Source organism: Homo sapiens, chromosome 9, assembly GCF_000001405.40.
Source record: "Homo sapiens chromosome 9, GRCh38.p14 Primary Assembly".
Taxonomy (NCBI): Eukaryota; Metazoa; Chordata; class Mammalia; order Primates; family Hominidae; genus Homo; species Homo sapiens.
In genome coordinates, this window is record NC_000009.12 from 2,430,449 (window position 1) to 2,447,178 (window position 16,730).

The 16,730-nt window shown below is 39.6% G+C and overlaps 1 long non-coding RNA gene across 8 annotated transcripts in view; it reads right to left on the reverse strand.

The window, feature by feature from the left end:
• The window catches only part of LOC101930053 (uncharacterized), a 121,382-nt gene that overhangs the window by 45,294 nt on the left and 59,358 nt on the right, over positions 1-16,730 (reverse strand). The gene's annotated exons all lie outside the window — the stretch shown is intronic.

Below are 16,730 nucleotides of genomic sequence, written 5' to 3' on the forward strand. Positions count from 1 at the left end.
GAGGGAGAGCTGAGGACTGACATGGGGAAAAAGAAACCTTTTATGCATTGAGAAGCTGCAGGAAATCTTTCATGCATCGAGAAGCTATGAGAAAGCTCTGCACCAAGCCAATGTGTCCCTCTTCTATGTGGGTGACCTGCAAACTGCTAGCGACTAACCCATGGAACTTTGAGAGTCTGGATGGAAGTGATGTTTATCATTGCCCATGAGATTCTGCCTAAACCTCTCACCTGTTCCAGATGGACCATCTCCTGTAGACAAGCTGCTGATGTAAAGGTCCTAGACACTCATAAGTCACTCAGAACAAAAAGGGATTTGGCCACCTTTTGAGGGGAGGATGATAATGAGAGGAAACGCCTTCAGATCAAGGTGGGGCAGGTACGGCCAGTTGGAAATTCCCTTCTGAGCCAGGAAAATGGTGGTGATTTCATTTCCATTTATGTTGTTTAACCATGAGACATCGTAGTAGATAATGCTTCCTTATACCATATTCTCATACTCACCTAGATCGTTTGCAGCTATGGTGTCAGTACCAGAAGCTGGCAGCTTCTCTCTCAACTCTCTCTCTTTTTCTAAGCCTGAGGATATTTTTTAGCAGAAGCATGTTCTACAGCAAGCAGACACAGCTCAGAAGTGTAGGAAAATTAATACCTCCAAAGGTAGTCTCCAGCCAGAGGGAGATGCAAACTGGTGGATACAAGCCTCAGTCCCCCTGTACTCGTGTAGGGTAATTTTGAAGTATACTCTACTTTTTTCGGAGCATCTTCAGCAGAGCTGAGCTCCAATAGCCTATATTAGTAGTTCAATTTTTATTGCACCTTTCCTTGGCTTTTCTCCTTTCTGCGTCTTAATTTATCCATTTCTCCACTTGTATTTCTTGAGATAAACACCCAAGTAAACTACCTGAAGCCAAAACTGTGTATCAAGTTCTGCTTTGGGGGAAACCCTCACAAAAATAAAAACTTTTTCATGTGGCACTCCTTAGGTAATCATAAAATTCCCTCTTGCCCTAAACTTCAATGCTCACTCCTTTGGTCACTCTCAGTGGCCAACTCTGAGCCAGTCCCCATTTCACCAGGAGTGAGAGAATGAAGACAAGTTTGACCACATTTGGATTTTTTTTTAAAATTATACTTTAAGTTCTGGGGTACATGTGCAGAACGTGCAGGTTTGTTACATAGGTATACATGTGCCGTGGTGGTTTGCTGCACCCATCAACCCGTCATCTGCATCAAGTATTTCTCCTAATGCTATCCCTCCTTTAGCCCCCCAGCCCCTGACAGACCCTGGTGTGTGATGTTCCCCTCCCTGTGCCCATGTGTTCTCATTGTTCAACTCCCACTTATGAGTGAGAACACGCAGTGTTTGGTTTCCTGTTCCTGTGTTAGTTTGCTGAGAATGATGGTTTCCAGCTTCATCCAAGTCCCTGCAAAGAACATGAACTCATCCTTTTTTTTGCTGCATAGTATTCCATGGTGTATATGTGCCACATTTTCTTTATCCAGTCTATCATTGATGGGCATTTGGGTTGGTTCCAAGTCTTTGCTATTGTGAACAGTGCTGCAATAAACATGTGTGTGCATGTGTCTTTATAGTAGAATGATTTATAATCCTTTGGGTATATACCCAGCAATGGGATCGCTGAGTCAATGGTATTTCTGGTTCTAGATCCTTGAGGAATCGCCACACTGTCTTCCACAATGGTTGAACTAATTTACAGTCCAACCAACAGTGTAAAAACATTCCTATTTCTCCATATCCTCTTCAGCATCTATTGTTTCCTGACTTTTTAATGATCGCCATTCTAACTGGCATGAGATGGTATCTCACTGGACCACATTCTGATTTTAGCTCTCCTTCTAATTACTTAAGGTTAAAAATAGTCTTTACTGCAGTGGACCATTTTTCCAGAGAAGCCCAGAGCTTGTGAGAAGACCAGGGAGTTGTGAGCTGGTTTCTGGGACATTTTAATAACTTAAAACAGAAGTGCACATATTTTATTAAACATCTTCCAATTATCTTTAATTTTTATATATAACAGCTTTGCTGAGCTTTAACAGCTTTATATAATTCATATACAGAACAGTTCACCTATTTAAAGTGTAGAAGTCAAATATTTTTAACATATAGAATAATGTACAACCATCATCATAATAAATTTTAGATCATTTTCATTACCTCCAGAAACCAATTAACCAAACAAACAAAAAACCCATACAATTCACAGTCTCTCTCCATTTTTCTGCAAGTCTCCTAGCCATAGGCAACCATCAAGTGACTTTTCATCTCTATAGATTTACCTAATTTGGACATTTTATATAAATAAAATCATACAACGTGTGGTCTTTTGTGATTGGCTTGTTTTTCTTAACATAATGTTTTCAAGGTTCATTCATGTTGTAGCATGTATAGTACCTTATTTCTCTTTATGGCCAAATAGTATTCCATTGTACAGATATACCACATTTTATTCATTCCTTCATTAGTTTATGGACACTTCGGTTGTTTGCACTTTTTGGCTATTATCAATAATGCCGCTATGAACAGTCATGTACAAGTGATTGAGTGAACATATGTTTTTATTTTTCTTGGATATACACCTAGATGTCCAATTGCTAGGTACCATGGTAACTCTATTTTTTGACCTTTTTAGAAGCTGCCAGACTGTTTTCCAAAACGGATGTAACATGTTCTATTCCCATTAGCATTGTATTAGGGTTTTAATTTCACCCACACTGTTTAAAAATGCCTTTTTAAGGCTGGGCGCAGTGGCTCGTGCCTGTAATCCCAGCACTTTAGGAGGCTGAGGTGGGCGGATCACTTGAGCTCAGGAGTTCGAGACCAGCCTGGCAAACATGGCAAAACCCTGTTTCTATTAAAAATACAAAAAATTAGTCAGGTGTGGTGGTGGGTGCCTGTAATCCCTGCCATTCTGGAAGCTGAGGCAGGAGAAACGCTTGAACCTGGGAGGCAGAGGTTGCAGTGAGCTGAGATTGCACCACTGCACTCCAGCTTGGGTGACAGAGCAAGACTCCATCTCAAAAAAAAAAAGCTTTTTAATTATAGCCATCCTAGTGGGTATGAAGTGGTATCTCATTGTAGCTTTGATTTGCAATACCCTGATAACTAATTATGTCAAGTACCCTTTAATGGACTTACAGGCCATTTGTATATCTTCTTAGGAAAAATGTCTATTTCTATTCAATTTTTAAAAATTTTATTTATTTATTCTATTTCAATACCTTTTGAGAAACAGGTGGTTTTTGGTTACATGGATAAGTTCTTTAGTGGTAATTTCTGAGATTTTGGTGCACCCATCACCTGCGCAGTGTACACTGTACTCAATGGGTAGTCTTTTATCTCTCACCCCTTCCTACCTTTCTCCATGAGTCCCCAAAGTCCGTTATATCATTCTTATGCCTTTGTGTCCTCATAATTCAGCTCCCACTTATAAGTGAGAACATACAATATTTGGTTTTCCATTCCTAAGTTACTTCACTTAGAATAATGGTCTCCAACTCCATACAGGTTGCTGCAAATGGCATTATTTCATTCCTTTTTAAGTCTGAATAGTATTCTGTGGTACATATTTATCACATTTTCTTTATCCACTTGCTGATTGGTGGGCATTTGGGCTGGTTTCAAATTTTTGCAATTGTGAATTGTGCTGCTATAAACATGTATGTGCAGGTATCTTTTTCGTATAATGACTTCTTTTCCTCTGAGTAAATACCCAGTAGTGGGATTGCTGGATCAAATGGTAGTTCTACTTTTAGTTCTTTAAGGAATCTCCAAACGGTTTTCCATAGCTGTACTAGTTTACATTCCCACCAGCAATGTAAACGTGTTCTCTTTTCACCACATTCCTGCCAACGTCTATTATTTTCTGATATTTTGATTATGGCCATTCCTGCAGGAGTAAGATGGTATCACATTGTGGTTTTGATTTGCATTTCCCTGATCATTAGTGATGTTGAGCATTTTTTCATATGTTTATTGGCCATTTGCATATCTTCTTTTGAGAATTGTCTATTCATGTCCTTAGCCCACTTTTTGATGGGATTGTTTGTTTTTTTCTTGCTAGTTTGTTTGAGTTCCTTGTAGATTCTGGATTTAGTCCTTTGTTGGGTGCATAATTTGTGAATAATTTCTCCCATTCTATGGGTTGTCTGTTTACTCTGCTGATTCTTTTGCTGTGCAGAAGCTTTTTAGTTTATTTAAGTCCCATCTATTTTCTTTGGTTTTGTGGCATTTGCTCTTAGGTTCTTGATTATGAAGCCTTTGCCTAAGCAAATGTCTAGAAGGAATTTTTCAATGTTATATTCTAGAATTTTTATGGTTTCAGGTCTTATATTTAAATATTTGATCCATCTAAGTTGATTTTTATGTAAGGTGAGAGATGAGTATCCAGTTTCAGTCTTCTACTTGTGGCTTGCCAGTTATCCCAGCAGCATTTGTTGAATAGGGTGTCCTTTCTCCACTTTATGTTTTTGTTTGCTTTGTCAAAGATCAGATGGCTTTAAGTATTTGGCTTTTGTTCTGGGTTCTCTATTCTGTTTCATTGGCCTAGGTGCCTATTTTTATACCAGTACCATGCTATTTTGGTGACTGTGGCCTTATAGTATAATTTGGAGTTGTGTAATGTGATGCTTCCAGATTTGTTCTTTTTGCTTAGTCTTTCTTTGGCTATGCAGGCTCTTTGTTTCATATGAATTTTGGGATTGTTTTTTCTAGTTCTGTGATGAGATGGTGGTATTTTTATGGGAAATGCATTGGAACTCTAGATTGCTTTTGGCAGTATCTCTAGATTGCTTTTGGTAGTATGATTATTTTCACAATATTGATTCTACCTGTCCATGAACATGGGATGTGTTTCCATTTGTTTGTCTCATCTATGATTTCTTTCAGCAGTGTTTTGTGGTTTTCCTTGTAGAGATTTTTCACATCCTTAGTTAGGTATATTCCTTGGTTAGGTATATTTGCAGCTATTGTAAAAGGGATTGAGTTCTTGATGTGATTCTCAGCTTGGTCACTGCTGTTGTATACACAGCAAAGCTACAGATTTGATTACCTTAATTTTGCATCCTGAAACTTTGCTGAATCCATTTATCAGTTCTAGGAGCTTTTGGAGGAGTCTTTAGGGTTTTCTAGGTACACAATCATATCATCAGCAAACAGCGACAATTTGACTTCCTCTTTACTGATTTGGATGTCCTTTATTTCTTTATCTTGTCTGATTGCTCTGGCTGTGATTTCCAGTACTATGTTGAATAGAAGTGGTGAGATTGGGCATCCTTGTCTGGTTCCAGTTCTCAGGGGGAATGATTTCAACTTTTCCCCCATTCAGTATTATGTCAGCTGTGTGTTTGTCATAGATGGCTTTTATTGCATTAAGGTATGTTCCTTCTATGCTGATTTTGCTGAGGATTTTAATTATAAAGTGATGCTGGATTTTGTCAAATGCTTTTTCTGCATCTATTGACATGATCATGTAATTTTTGTTTTTAATGCTATTTTTGTGGTGTATCACATTTATTGACTTGCACATGTTAAAGCATCCCTGGTATGAAACCCACTTGATCATGGTAGATTATTTTTTTGATATGCTGTTGGATTTGGTTAGCTAGTATTTTGTTAAGGATTTTTGCATCACATTTGTCAGGGGTATTGGTCTGTAGTTTTCTTTTTTTTGCTATGTCCTTTCTTGGTTTTGGTATTAGGGTGATACTGGCTTCACAGAATGATTTAGGGAGGATTCTCTTTTCTTCTATCTTGTGGAATAGCATCAATAGGATTGGTATCAATTTTTCTTTGAATGTCTGATAGAATTCAGCTGTGAAATCATCTGGTCCTGGACTTTTTTTGTTGTTATTGGCAATTGTCTTATAATCATTTCAATCTCTCTGCTTGTTATTGGTCTGTTCAGCATTTCTATTTTTTCCTGGTTTAATCTAGGAGGTTTGTATATTTCCAGGAATTTATGTATCTTCTCTAGGTTTTCTAGTTTATAGGTATAAAGGTGTTCATAGTAGCCTTGAATATTTTTTTGTAATTCTGTGATATCAGTTGTAATATCTCCCATTTCATTTCTAATTGAGTTTACTAATGTCTTCTGTCTTCTTTTCTTGGTTAATCTCGCTAATGGTCTATTAATTTTATTTATCTTTTCAAATAATCAGCTTTTTTGTTCCATTTATCTTTTGTTTTCTTTTTTGTTTCAATTTCATTTAGTTCTGCTCTTACCTTTGTTATTTCTTCTGCTGGGTTTGGGTTTGGTTTGTTCTTGTTTCTCTAGTTCCATGAGAAGTGACCTTAGATTGTCTATATGTGCTCTTTCAGACTTTTTGATGATCATTAAGGAATAGGTTATTTAATTTCCATGTATTTGTGTAGTTTTGAGGGTTCCTTTAGAAATCAGTTTATAGTTTTATTCCACTGTGGTCTGAGAGAGTACTTGATGTAATTCCAATTTTTAAAAATTTATTGAAACTTGTTTTGTGGTCTATCATATGGTCTATCTTACAGAATGTTCCCTGTGCTGATAAACAGAATGTATATTCTGCATTTGTTGGGTAGAATGTTCTGTAAATATCCATTAAGTTCATTTGTTCTAAGGTATAGTTTAAATCCACTGTTTCTTTGTTGACTTTTTCTCTTGATGACCTGTCTAGTGCTGTCAGTGGAGTACTGAAGTTCCCCACTATTCTTGTGTTGCTGTCTATCACATTTTTTAGGTCTAGTAGTAATTGTTTTATAAATTTGGGAGCTCCAGTATTAGGTGCATATATTTAGGATTGTGACATTTTCCACTTGGACATTATATAATGTCCCTCTTCATCTTTTTCAACTGCTGTCGCTTTAAAGTGTTTTTTGTCTGATATAAGAATAGCTATTCCTGCTCCCTTTTGGTGTCCATTTGCATGGAATATCGTTTTCCACCCCTTTACTTTAAGTTTATGTGAGTCCTTATGTGTTAGGTGAATCTCCTGAAGAAAGCAGATACTTGGTTGGTGAATTCTTATCCATTCTGCCATTCTGTATCCTTTAAATGGAGCATTTAGGCCATTTACATTCAGCATTAGTACTGAGACGTGAAGTACTATTCTATTAATCATGCTATTTGTTGCCTGAATGCTTTGGGTTTTTAAAATTTTATTGTGTTTTTGTTTTACAGATCCTGTGAGATTTATGCTTTAAGGATGTTCTATTTTGACGTATTTCAAGGATTTGTTTCATGATTTAGAGCTCCTTTTAGCAGTTCTTGTAGTGCTGGCTTGGTAGTGGCAAATTCTCTCAGCATTTGTTTGTCTGAAAAAGACTGTATCTTTCCTTCACTCATGAAGCTTAGTTTCACTGGATACAAAATTCTTGGCTAATAATTGTTTTGTTCAAGGAGGCTGAATATAGGGCCCCGATCCCTTCTATCTTGTAGGGTTTCTGCTGAGAAGTCTGCTGTTAATATAATAGGTTTTCCTTTATAGATTACCTAGTGCTTTTGCCTCACAACTCTTAAGATTCTTTCCTCATTATGACTTTAGGTAACCTGATGACTATGTGTCTAGGTGATGATCTTTTTGTGATAAATTTCTCGGGTGTCGTTTGAGCTTCTTGTATTTGGATGTCTAGATTTTTAGCAATGCTGTGGAAGTTTTTTTTTTGATTATTCCCTTAAATATGCTTTCAAAACTTTTAGATTTCTCTTGTTCCTCAGGAATATCAAATCAATTATTCCTAGGTTTGGTCATTTAACATAATCCTAAACTTCTTGGAGGCTTTGTTCATTTTTTATTCTTTTTTCTTTGTCTTTGTTGGATTAGGTTAATTCAAAAACCTTGTCATTAAGCTCTGAAGTCCTTTCTTCTGCTTGCTTGATTCAATTGCCAAGACTTTTCAGTGCATTTTGCATTTCTATAAGCATGTCCTTTATTTCCAGAAACTGCTATTTTTTTATTTATGCTATCTATTTCACTGAAGATTTTTTCCTTTGTATCTTATATCATTTGTTTAAATTTCATTAAATTGGACTTCACCTTTCTCTGGTACCTCCTTGATTAGCTTAATAATTGACCTTCTGAATTCTCTTTTTGGCAATTCAGAGATTTCTTCTTGGCTTGAATCCATTGCTGGTGAGCAAGGGTGATCTTTTAGGGGTGTTAAAGAACCTTGTTTTGTCATATTACCAGAATTGTTTTTCTGGTTCCTTCTCATTAAGGTAGACTATGTCAAAGGGAAGACCTGGGGCTCAAGGGCCACTATTCAGATTCTTTTGTCCCATTGGGTACTCCCTTGATGTAGTGCTCCCCCAATTTCCCCAGGGATGGGGTTTTCTGAGAGCCAAAGTGTAGTGATTGTTATTTCTCTTCTGGATCTAGCCATCCAGCAGAGCTACCTGGCTCCAGGCTGGTACTTGGGGGTGTCTACACAGAGTCCTGTGATGTGAACCATCTTCAGGTCTCTTAGCTGTGGATAGCAGCACTTGCTCTGGTGGAGGTGGCAGGAGAGTGAAATGAACTCTGTGAGGGTCCTTAGTTGTAGTTTTGTTTATTGCACTAGTTTTGTGCTGTTTGGCCTCCTGCCAGGAAGTGGAGGATCAAGAGAGCATCAGCTGTGGTAGTATAGGGATGATCAGGCAGTGGGCAGTGCCCTAGAGTTCCCAAGGGAGCTCTTTGTTTTTGGCTACCAGGGCAGGTAGAGAAAGACCATCAGGTGGGGGCAGGGTTAGGTGTGTCTGAGCTCAGACTCTCCTTGGGTGGGGCTTGCTGTGGCTGCTGTGGGGGATTGGGGAGTGGGGGTGTGGTTCTCAGGCCAATGAAGTTATATTCTCAGGGGGATTATGGCTGCCTCTGCTGTGTCATGTATGTGACCAGTAAGGAAAGCCGACAGTTATAGGCCTCATCCAGCTGCTATGCAGCCCAAAATGCCAGTCTCACTCCCACCATACCCCCTCCCCAACATCACTGGGTTGTTTCCAGGCAGCAGGTGAGCAGGGCTGAGAACTTGCCCCAGGCTGCCAACCTTCTGGCTATGAAAGTGAGCGGGGCTTTCAGGTTTCACACTTCCTGCCTGCCATGGCTTCTGTGCTGTGTCTGCACTCCAGATTCATGCCCTCTCCCAAGTTATGCCCAGGAAAATTTGCATTCAGTTGAAATTGTTACAAAGTTCAGCTGGAAGCTTCCCTCTCTCTGTGGTCTTTTTCCAGTTCCTCTGGCAGCCCTCCCCAAGGACCTCTGTGAGACAAAGTCAGACATGGCTTCCCTGGGGACTGTGAGAGCCCACGGGGCTCTTCCTGCTGCTTCTTCTATCCCTGTATTTTGCTTGGCTCTCTAAAATTGTCTCAGCTCCAGGTAAGGTCAAATCCTTCTCCCCTGATCTGGACCTTCAGGTTCCCCACTGAGGGTGTATGTTTGGGAGCAGATGATCCTCCTTTCACATTTTGGGCACTCACAGTTTTTGGGCTGTCTCCTAGGACTGCAGGAGCAACCTGCTCCCTTCAAAGTGTCTGTGGATCCTCTCGGCTTTCCTGGTACGTTCCTGCAGCAGTTCTTGGAGCAAAAGTTCATGATGTGATTCTCCACATAGTGCTCTGTCTCTCCAAGTGGAAGCTGCAATTTGGTCCTGCCTCCTATTCACCATTATCCTAACCTCTCTGATATGAAGCTTATTTTTGCTGGATACAGAATTCTTAGCTGACAGCTATTTTGTTTCAGGAGGCTAAAGATGGAATCCCTATCCCTTCTGGCTTGCGGGGTTTCTGCTGAGAAATCTGCTGTTAATCTTATAGGTTTTCCTTTGTAGGTAATCTGATGCTTTTGTTTCACAGCTCTTAAGATTCTTTCCCTTGTCTTGACTTTAAATAACCTGATGACTATGTGCCTAGGTGATGATCTTTTTGTGATGGATTTCCCAGGTGTTCTTTGAGCTTCTTGTATGTGGATGTCTAGATCTCTAATAAGGTCAGGGAAATTTTCCTCAATTATTCTTTCAAATAAGTTTTCCAAACATTTAGATTTCTATTCTTCCTCAGAAACAACAATTATTCTTAGGTTTGGCCACTTAACATAATCCCATTTTTTTGGAGGCTTTGCTCATTTTTTAAAAAATTCCTATTTCTTTGTCTTTGTCTAATTGGGTTAATGTGAAAGCCTTGTTTTTGAGCGGTGAAGTTCTTTCTTCTACTTGGTCTAGTCTTTGTTGAAACCTTTGAGTGCATTTTGTATTTCTCTAAGTGTGATTTTTATTTCCAGAAGTTGTGATTGTATTTTCTTTATGATATCTATTTCTCTGGAGAATTTTCCATCCATATCCTGTATTTTTTAAAAGTTTCTTTACATTGTTTTTCACCTTTCTCTGGTGCCTCCTTGAGTAGCTTAATAATCAATCTTCTGCATTCTTTATCTGGCAATTCAGAGATTTCTTCTTGGTTTGGATCCATGGCTGGGGAGCTAGTGTGATCTTTTGTGGATGTTATAGACCCCTGTTTTGTCATATTACCAGAATTACTTTTCTGTTTCCTTCTCATTTGGGTAGACTATTTCAGTGGAAAGGTCTGCAACTAAAAGCCTGCTGCTCAGATTCTTTTGTTTCACAGGGTGATCCCTTGATGTGGTGCTCTCCTTCTCCTAGGGATGGGGCTTTCTGAGAACAGGACTGCAGTAATTGTTATTGCTCTTCAGGGTCTAGCTACCCCGCAGGGCTATCAGGCTCCAGGCTGGTACTAGGGAATGTACAAAGAGTCCTGTGATTGATTCGTCTTCAGGTCTCCTAGCCATGGATACCTGAATCTGCACTGACAGAGGTAGCAGGGGAGTGAAGTAGACTCTGTGAGAGTCCTTGGTTATATATATGTTTAGTGTGCTGGCTTTCTCAAATGCTGGCTGTGCTAGCAGTGAAGTTGTCATGTGGACACACTCAGGACCTCTGGTTAGCCAAGATGTTTCAGACAGTGAAATTAGCTATTGTTTTCTCCTTCCTGGGATCAGGGTTATTCTGCCATGAGGTGCTGTAATAGCCTGAGTTGGTTGGCCTCTAGCCAGGAGGTGGTACTTTCAAGAGAGCACCAACTAAGGTAGCAGGGAGATCCAAGCTTGCCCTAAGTTGGCCAGGGTAAGTCTTTTGGTTTCTCAGGCAATGGGCTGGGCCATAAGGCTCCCAAGAGTTTCTATCTTTTGTGTTCAGCTATTTGGTCTAGTAGCAGACCAAGAGAATTCTCTGGGTCAGAGCAGGTAGAGAATTACCATAAGGTGGGGACAAGGCTAGGCAGTTCTGAGCTCAGACTCTCCTTGGGCAGGGTTTGCCATGGCCATTGTTGGAGAAGGGAGGTGGTTCTCAAACCAATGGGGTTATATACCAGAGGGGATTTTGGCTGCCTCTGATGTGTCATATAGTTTGCCAGGGAAGTAGAGGGTAGCCAGCAGTGAGAGGCCTCACCCAGCTCCCATGCAGTTGGTGAGGCCTGTCTCACTCCTGCAGCGCCCCACTCAGGCCTTGCTCCATGCTGTCAGCTTCCCCATTGAGAGAGCAAGTACAGCTTTTGGACCTCCTCACTCCCCATCTGCCCACTCTGTTGGCAGCAGCTCCTGCACCCATATCTGCAGAAGTTCCTGCTTGTCGCCTGGATTCTGCTCAAGAAAATGTGTGCCCAGTCAAGAGTATTACTAATTTCAGTTGGAAGCTTCTTTTTCCTTGTGAGCCCTCCCTAATTCCACTGGCTGCCTTCCTTGTGGGTCCCTGTGAGATATAGTCAGGAATGGCTTCCCTGAACTCAAACTGGAGACTGGAAGTGCCTTCTAGGCACTGCTTCTACTTATTTTTATTTTATTTTATTTTATTATTATTATTATTTTTGAGACAGAGTCTCACTCTGTCACCCAGGCTGGAGGGCAGTGGTGCAATCTTGGCTCACTGCAACCTCCGCCTCCCGGGTTCAAGTGATTCCCTTGCCTCAGCCTCCTGAGTAGCTGGGAAGCTGGGATTACAGGCATCCACTACCACACCCAGCTAATTTTTATATTTTTAGTAGAGACAGGGTTTCACCATGTTGGCCAGGCTGGTCTTGAACTCCTGACCTCAGGTATCCACCTGCCTTAACGTCTACTTTTATATTTCATGAGGTTCCCTAAATCTGTGTCAGCTCTAGATAAGGTTAAATTCTTCTCCTGTGATCTAGATTTTCAGATTCCCCAGTGGGGATATATGCTCTGAGGAAGGTTTTCCACCTCTCACACTTTGGGAACTCACAGTTTTTTGCCTGTCTTGTGGAATTTGCAGTGGCGTGCTACTTCTTTCAACTGATCTGTGAATTCTTTCAGTTTTCCTGGTACATTCCTGCTGTCATTCTTGGAGCAAAAGTAAGTTCATGATGTGAGTCTCTACACACTGTTCTGTCCATCCAAGTGGGAGCTGCACATTAGCTCTGTCTCCTATCTGCCATCTTGTCTCCTCACCCTTTGTCTATTTTTAATTTTTTTATTATTGAGTTAAGAGCTCTTTATCCCTTATCAGATATATGATTTGTGAATATGTTCTACTATTTAGAGGATTATTTTTTAACTTTCTAATATGGTTTGGCTTTGTCCTCACCCCAATCTCATCTTGAATTACAGCTCTCACAATTTCCTTGTGTTGTGGGAGGGACCCAGTGGGAGATAACTGAATCATGGGAGCAGTTTCCCCCATATTGTTCTTGTGGTAGTGAATAAGTCGTACGAGAGCTGATGTTTTTATTAGGAAAAACTCCTTTCACTTGGCTCTGACTCTTCTCTTGTCTGTCGCCATGTGAGATGTGCCTTTCACCTTCCATCATGATTGTGAGGCCTCCCCAGCCACGTGGAACTGTAAGTCCATTAAATCTCTTTCTTTTGTAAATTGCCCAGTCTCAGGTATGTCTATCAATCAACAACATAAAAATGGACGAATACACTTTCTTAATGGTGTCCCTAGTGGCTCAAAAACGTTTCTTTTTTAACTTTTAAGTTCTGGGGTACATGTGCAGGATGTGCAGGCTCATTGCATAGGTAAATGTGTGCCACCGTGGTTTGCTGCCCATCATCTAAGTATTAACCCATCACCTAAGTATTAAGGCCAGCATGCGTTAGCTATTTTTCCTGATGCTCTCCCTTCCCCTGCCACCTCCTCCAACAGGCCCCAGTGTGTGTTGTTACTCTCCCTGTGTCCACGTGTTCTCATTGTTCAGCTTCCACTTATGAGTGAGAACATGTGGTGTTTGGTTTTCTGTTCCTGTGTTAGTTTGCTTAAGATAATGGCTTCCAGCTCCATTCATGTCCCTAGAAAGGACATGATCTTTTTCCTTTGTATGGCTGCGTGGTATTCCATGGTGTATGTGTACCACATTTTCTTTATTCAGTCTATTACTGATGGGCATTTAGGTAGATTCCATGTCTTTTTCATTGTGAATAGTGCAATGAATATACATGTCCATATATTTTCATAACAGAATAATTTATATTTCTTTGGGTATATACCCAGTAATGGGATTGCTAAGTCAAATGATATTTCTGGTTCTAGGTCTTTGAGGAATTGCCACACTGTCTTCCACAATGATTGAACTAATTTACATTTCCACCAACAGTGTAAAAGCATTCCTATCCCTTCATGGCCTGGAGAGCTTTTGTTGCTTCTTGATTTTTCAATAACTGCCATTCTGACTGACATGAGATGGTATCTCACTGTGGTTTTGATTTGCATTTCTCTAACAATCAGTGACGCTGAGCTTGTTTCATATGTTTTTTGGCTGCATAAATGTCTTCTTTTGAGAAGTGTCTGTTCATGTCCTATGCCCACTTTTTAATGGGGTTGTTAATTATTACTTAATATATAATTTTATGTCTTTTAAAGGAGCTGAGAGAGGAAAAGAAAGCAAGCATATCAACAGAATATACATTCTTCACAGCACCACACCGCACCTAATCAAAAATTGACCACATAGTTGGAAGTAAAGCACTCCTCAGCAAATGTAAAAGAACAGAAATTATAGCAAACTATCTCTCAGACCACAGTGCAATCAAACTAGAACTCAGGATTAAGAAACTCACTGCAAACTGCTCAACTACATGGAAACTGAACAACCTGCTCCTGAATGACTACTGGGTACATAACGAAATGAAGGCAGAAATAAAGATGTTCTTTGAAACCAATGAGAACAAAGACAAAACATACCAGAATCTCTGGGACGCATTCAAAGCACTAAATGCCAACAAGAGAAAGCAGGAAAGATCTAAAATTGAAACCCTAACATCACAATTAAAAAAACCAGAGAAGCAAGAGCAAGCACATTCAAAAACTAGCAGAAAGCAAGAAATAACTAAGATCAGAGCAGAACTGAAGGAAATAGAGACAAAAAAACCCTTCAAAAATTCAATGAATCTAGGAGCTGGTTTTTTGAAAAGATCAACAAAATTGATAGACTGCTAGCAAGACTAATAAAGAAGAAAAGAGAAGAATCAAATAGACGCAATAAAAAATGATAAAGGGGATATCACCACCGATCCCACAGAAATACAAACTACCATCAGAGAATACTATAAACACCTCTATGCAAGTAAACTAGAAAATCTAGAAGAAATAGATAAATTCCTCGACACATACACCCTCCCAAGACTAAACCAGCAAGAAGTTGAATCTCTGAATAGAGCAATAACAGGCTCTGAAATTGAGGCAATAATTAGTAGCTTACCAACCAAAAAAAGTCCAGGACCAGATGGATTCACAGCCAAATTCTACCAGAGGTACAAGGAGGAGCTGGTACCATTCCTTCTGAAACTATTCCAATCAATAGAAAAAGAAGGAATCCTCCCTAACTCATTTTATGAGGCCAGCATCATCCTGATACCAAAGCCTGGCAGAGACACAACAAAAAAAGAGAATTTTAGACCAATATCCCTGATGTGTTCATCAGGGATATTGTTGTTTCGATGCAAAAATCTTCAATAAAATACTGGCAAACCGAATCCAGCAGCACATCAAAAAGCTTATCCACCATGATCAAGTGGGCTTCATCCCTGGGCTGCAAGGCTGGTTCAACATATGCAAATCAATAAAAATAATCCAGCATATAAACAGAACCAACGACAAAAACCATATGATTATCTCAATAGATGCAGAAAAGGCCTTTGACAAAATTCAACAACGCTTCATGCTAAAAACTCTCAATAAATTAGGTATTGATGGTACGTATCTCAAAATAATAAGAGGTATCTATGACAAACCCACAGCCAATATCATACTGAATGGGCAAAAACTGGAAGCATTCCCTTTGAAAATGGGCACAAGACAGGGATGCCCTCTCTCACCACTCCTATTCAACATAGTGTTGGAAGTTCTGGCCAGGGCAATCAGGCAGGAGAAGGAAATAAAGGGTATTTTTTTTTCAATTAGGAAAAGAGGAAGTCAAATTGTCCCTGTTTGCAGATGACATGATTGTATATCTAGAAAACCCCATTGTCTCAGCCCAAAATCTCCTTGAGCTGATAGGCAACTTCAGCAAAGTCTCAGGATATAAAATCAATGTGCAAAAATCACAAGCATTCTTATACACCAATAACAGACACACAGAGAGCCAAATCATGAGTGAACTCCCATTCGCAATTGCTTCAAAGAGAATAAAATACCCAGGAATCCAACTTACAGGGGATGTGAAGGACCTCTTCAAGGAGAACTACAAACCACTGCTCAATGAAATAAAAGAGGATACAAACAAATGGAAGAACATTCCATGCTCATGGGTAGGAAGAATCAATATCGTGAAAATGGCCATACTGCCCAAGGTAATTTGTAGATTCGATGCCATCCCCATCAAGCTACCAATGACTTTCTTCACAGAATTGGAAAAAACTACTTTAAAGTTCATATGGAACCAAAAAAGAGCCTGCATGGCCAAGTCAATCCTAAGCCAAAAGAATAAAGCTGGAAGCATTGCGCTACCTGACTTCAAACTATACTACAAGGCTACAGTAACCAAAACAGCATGGTACTGGTACCAAAACAGAGATATAGACCAATGGAACAGAACAGAGCCCTCAGAAATAATGCTGCTTATCTACAACCATCTGATCTTTGACAAACCTGACAAAAACAAGAAATGGGGATACAATTCCCTATTTAATAAATGGTGCTGGGAATACTGGCTAGCCATATGTAGAAAGCTGAAACTGGATCCCTTCCTTATACAAAAATTAATTCAAGATGGATTAAATACTTAAATGCTAGACCTGAAACCATAAAAGCCCTAGAAGAAAATCTAGGCAATACCATTCAGGACACAGGCATGGGCAAGAACTTCATGTCTAAAACACCAAAAGCAATGGCAACAAAAGCCAAAATTGACAAATGGGATCTAATTAAACTAAAGAGCTTCTGCACAGCAAAAGAAACTACCATCAGAGTGAATAGGCAACCTACCACGAATGGGAGAAAATATTTGCAATCTACTCATCTGACAAAGGGCTAATATCCAGAATCCACAATGAGCTCAAATAAATTTACAAGAAAAAATCAAACAACCCCATCAAAAAGTGGGCAAAGTATATGAACAGACACTTCTCAAAAGAAGACATTTATGCAGCCAAAAGACACATGAAAAAATGCTCATCATCACTGGCCATCAGAGAAATGCAAATCAAAACCACAATGAGATACCATCTCACACCAGTTAGAAAGGCTATCATTAAAAAGTCAGGAAACAACAGGTGCTGGAGAGGATGTGGAGAAATAGG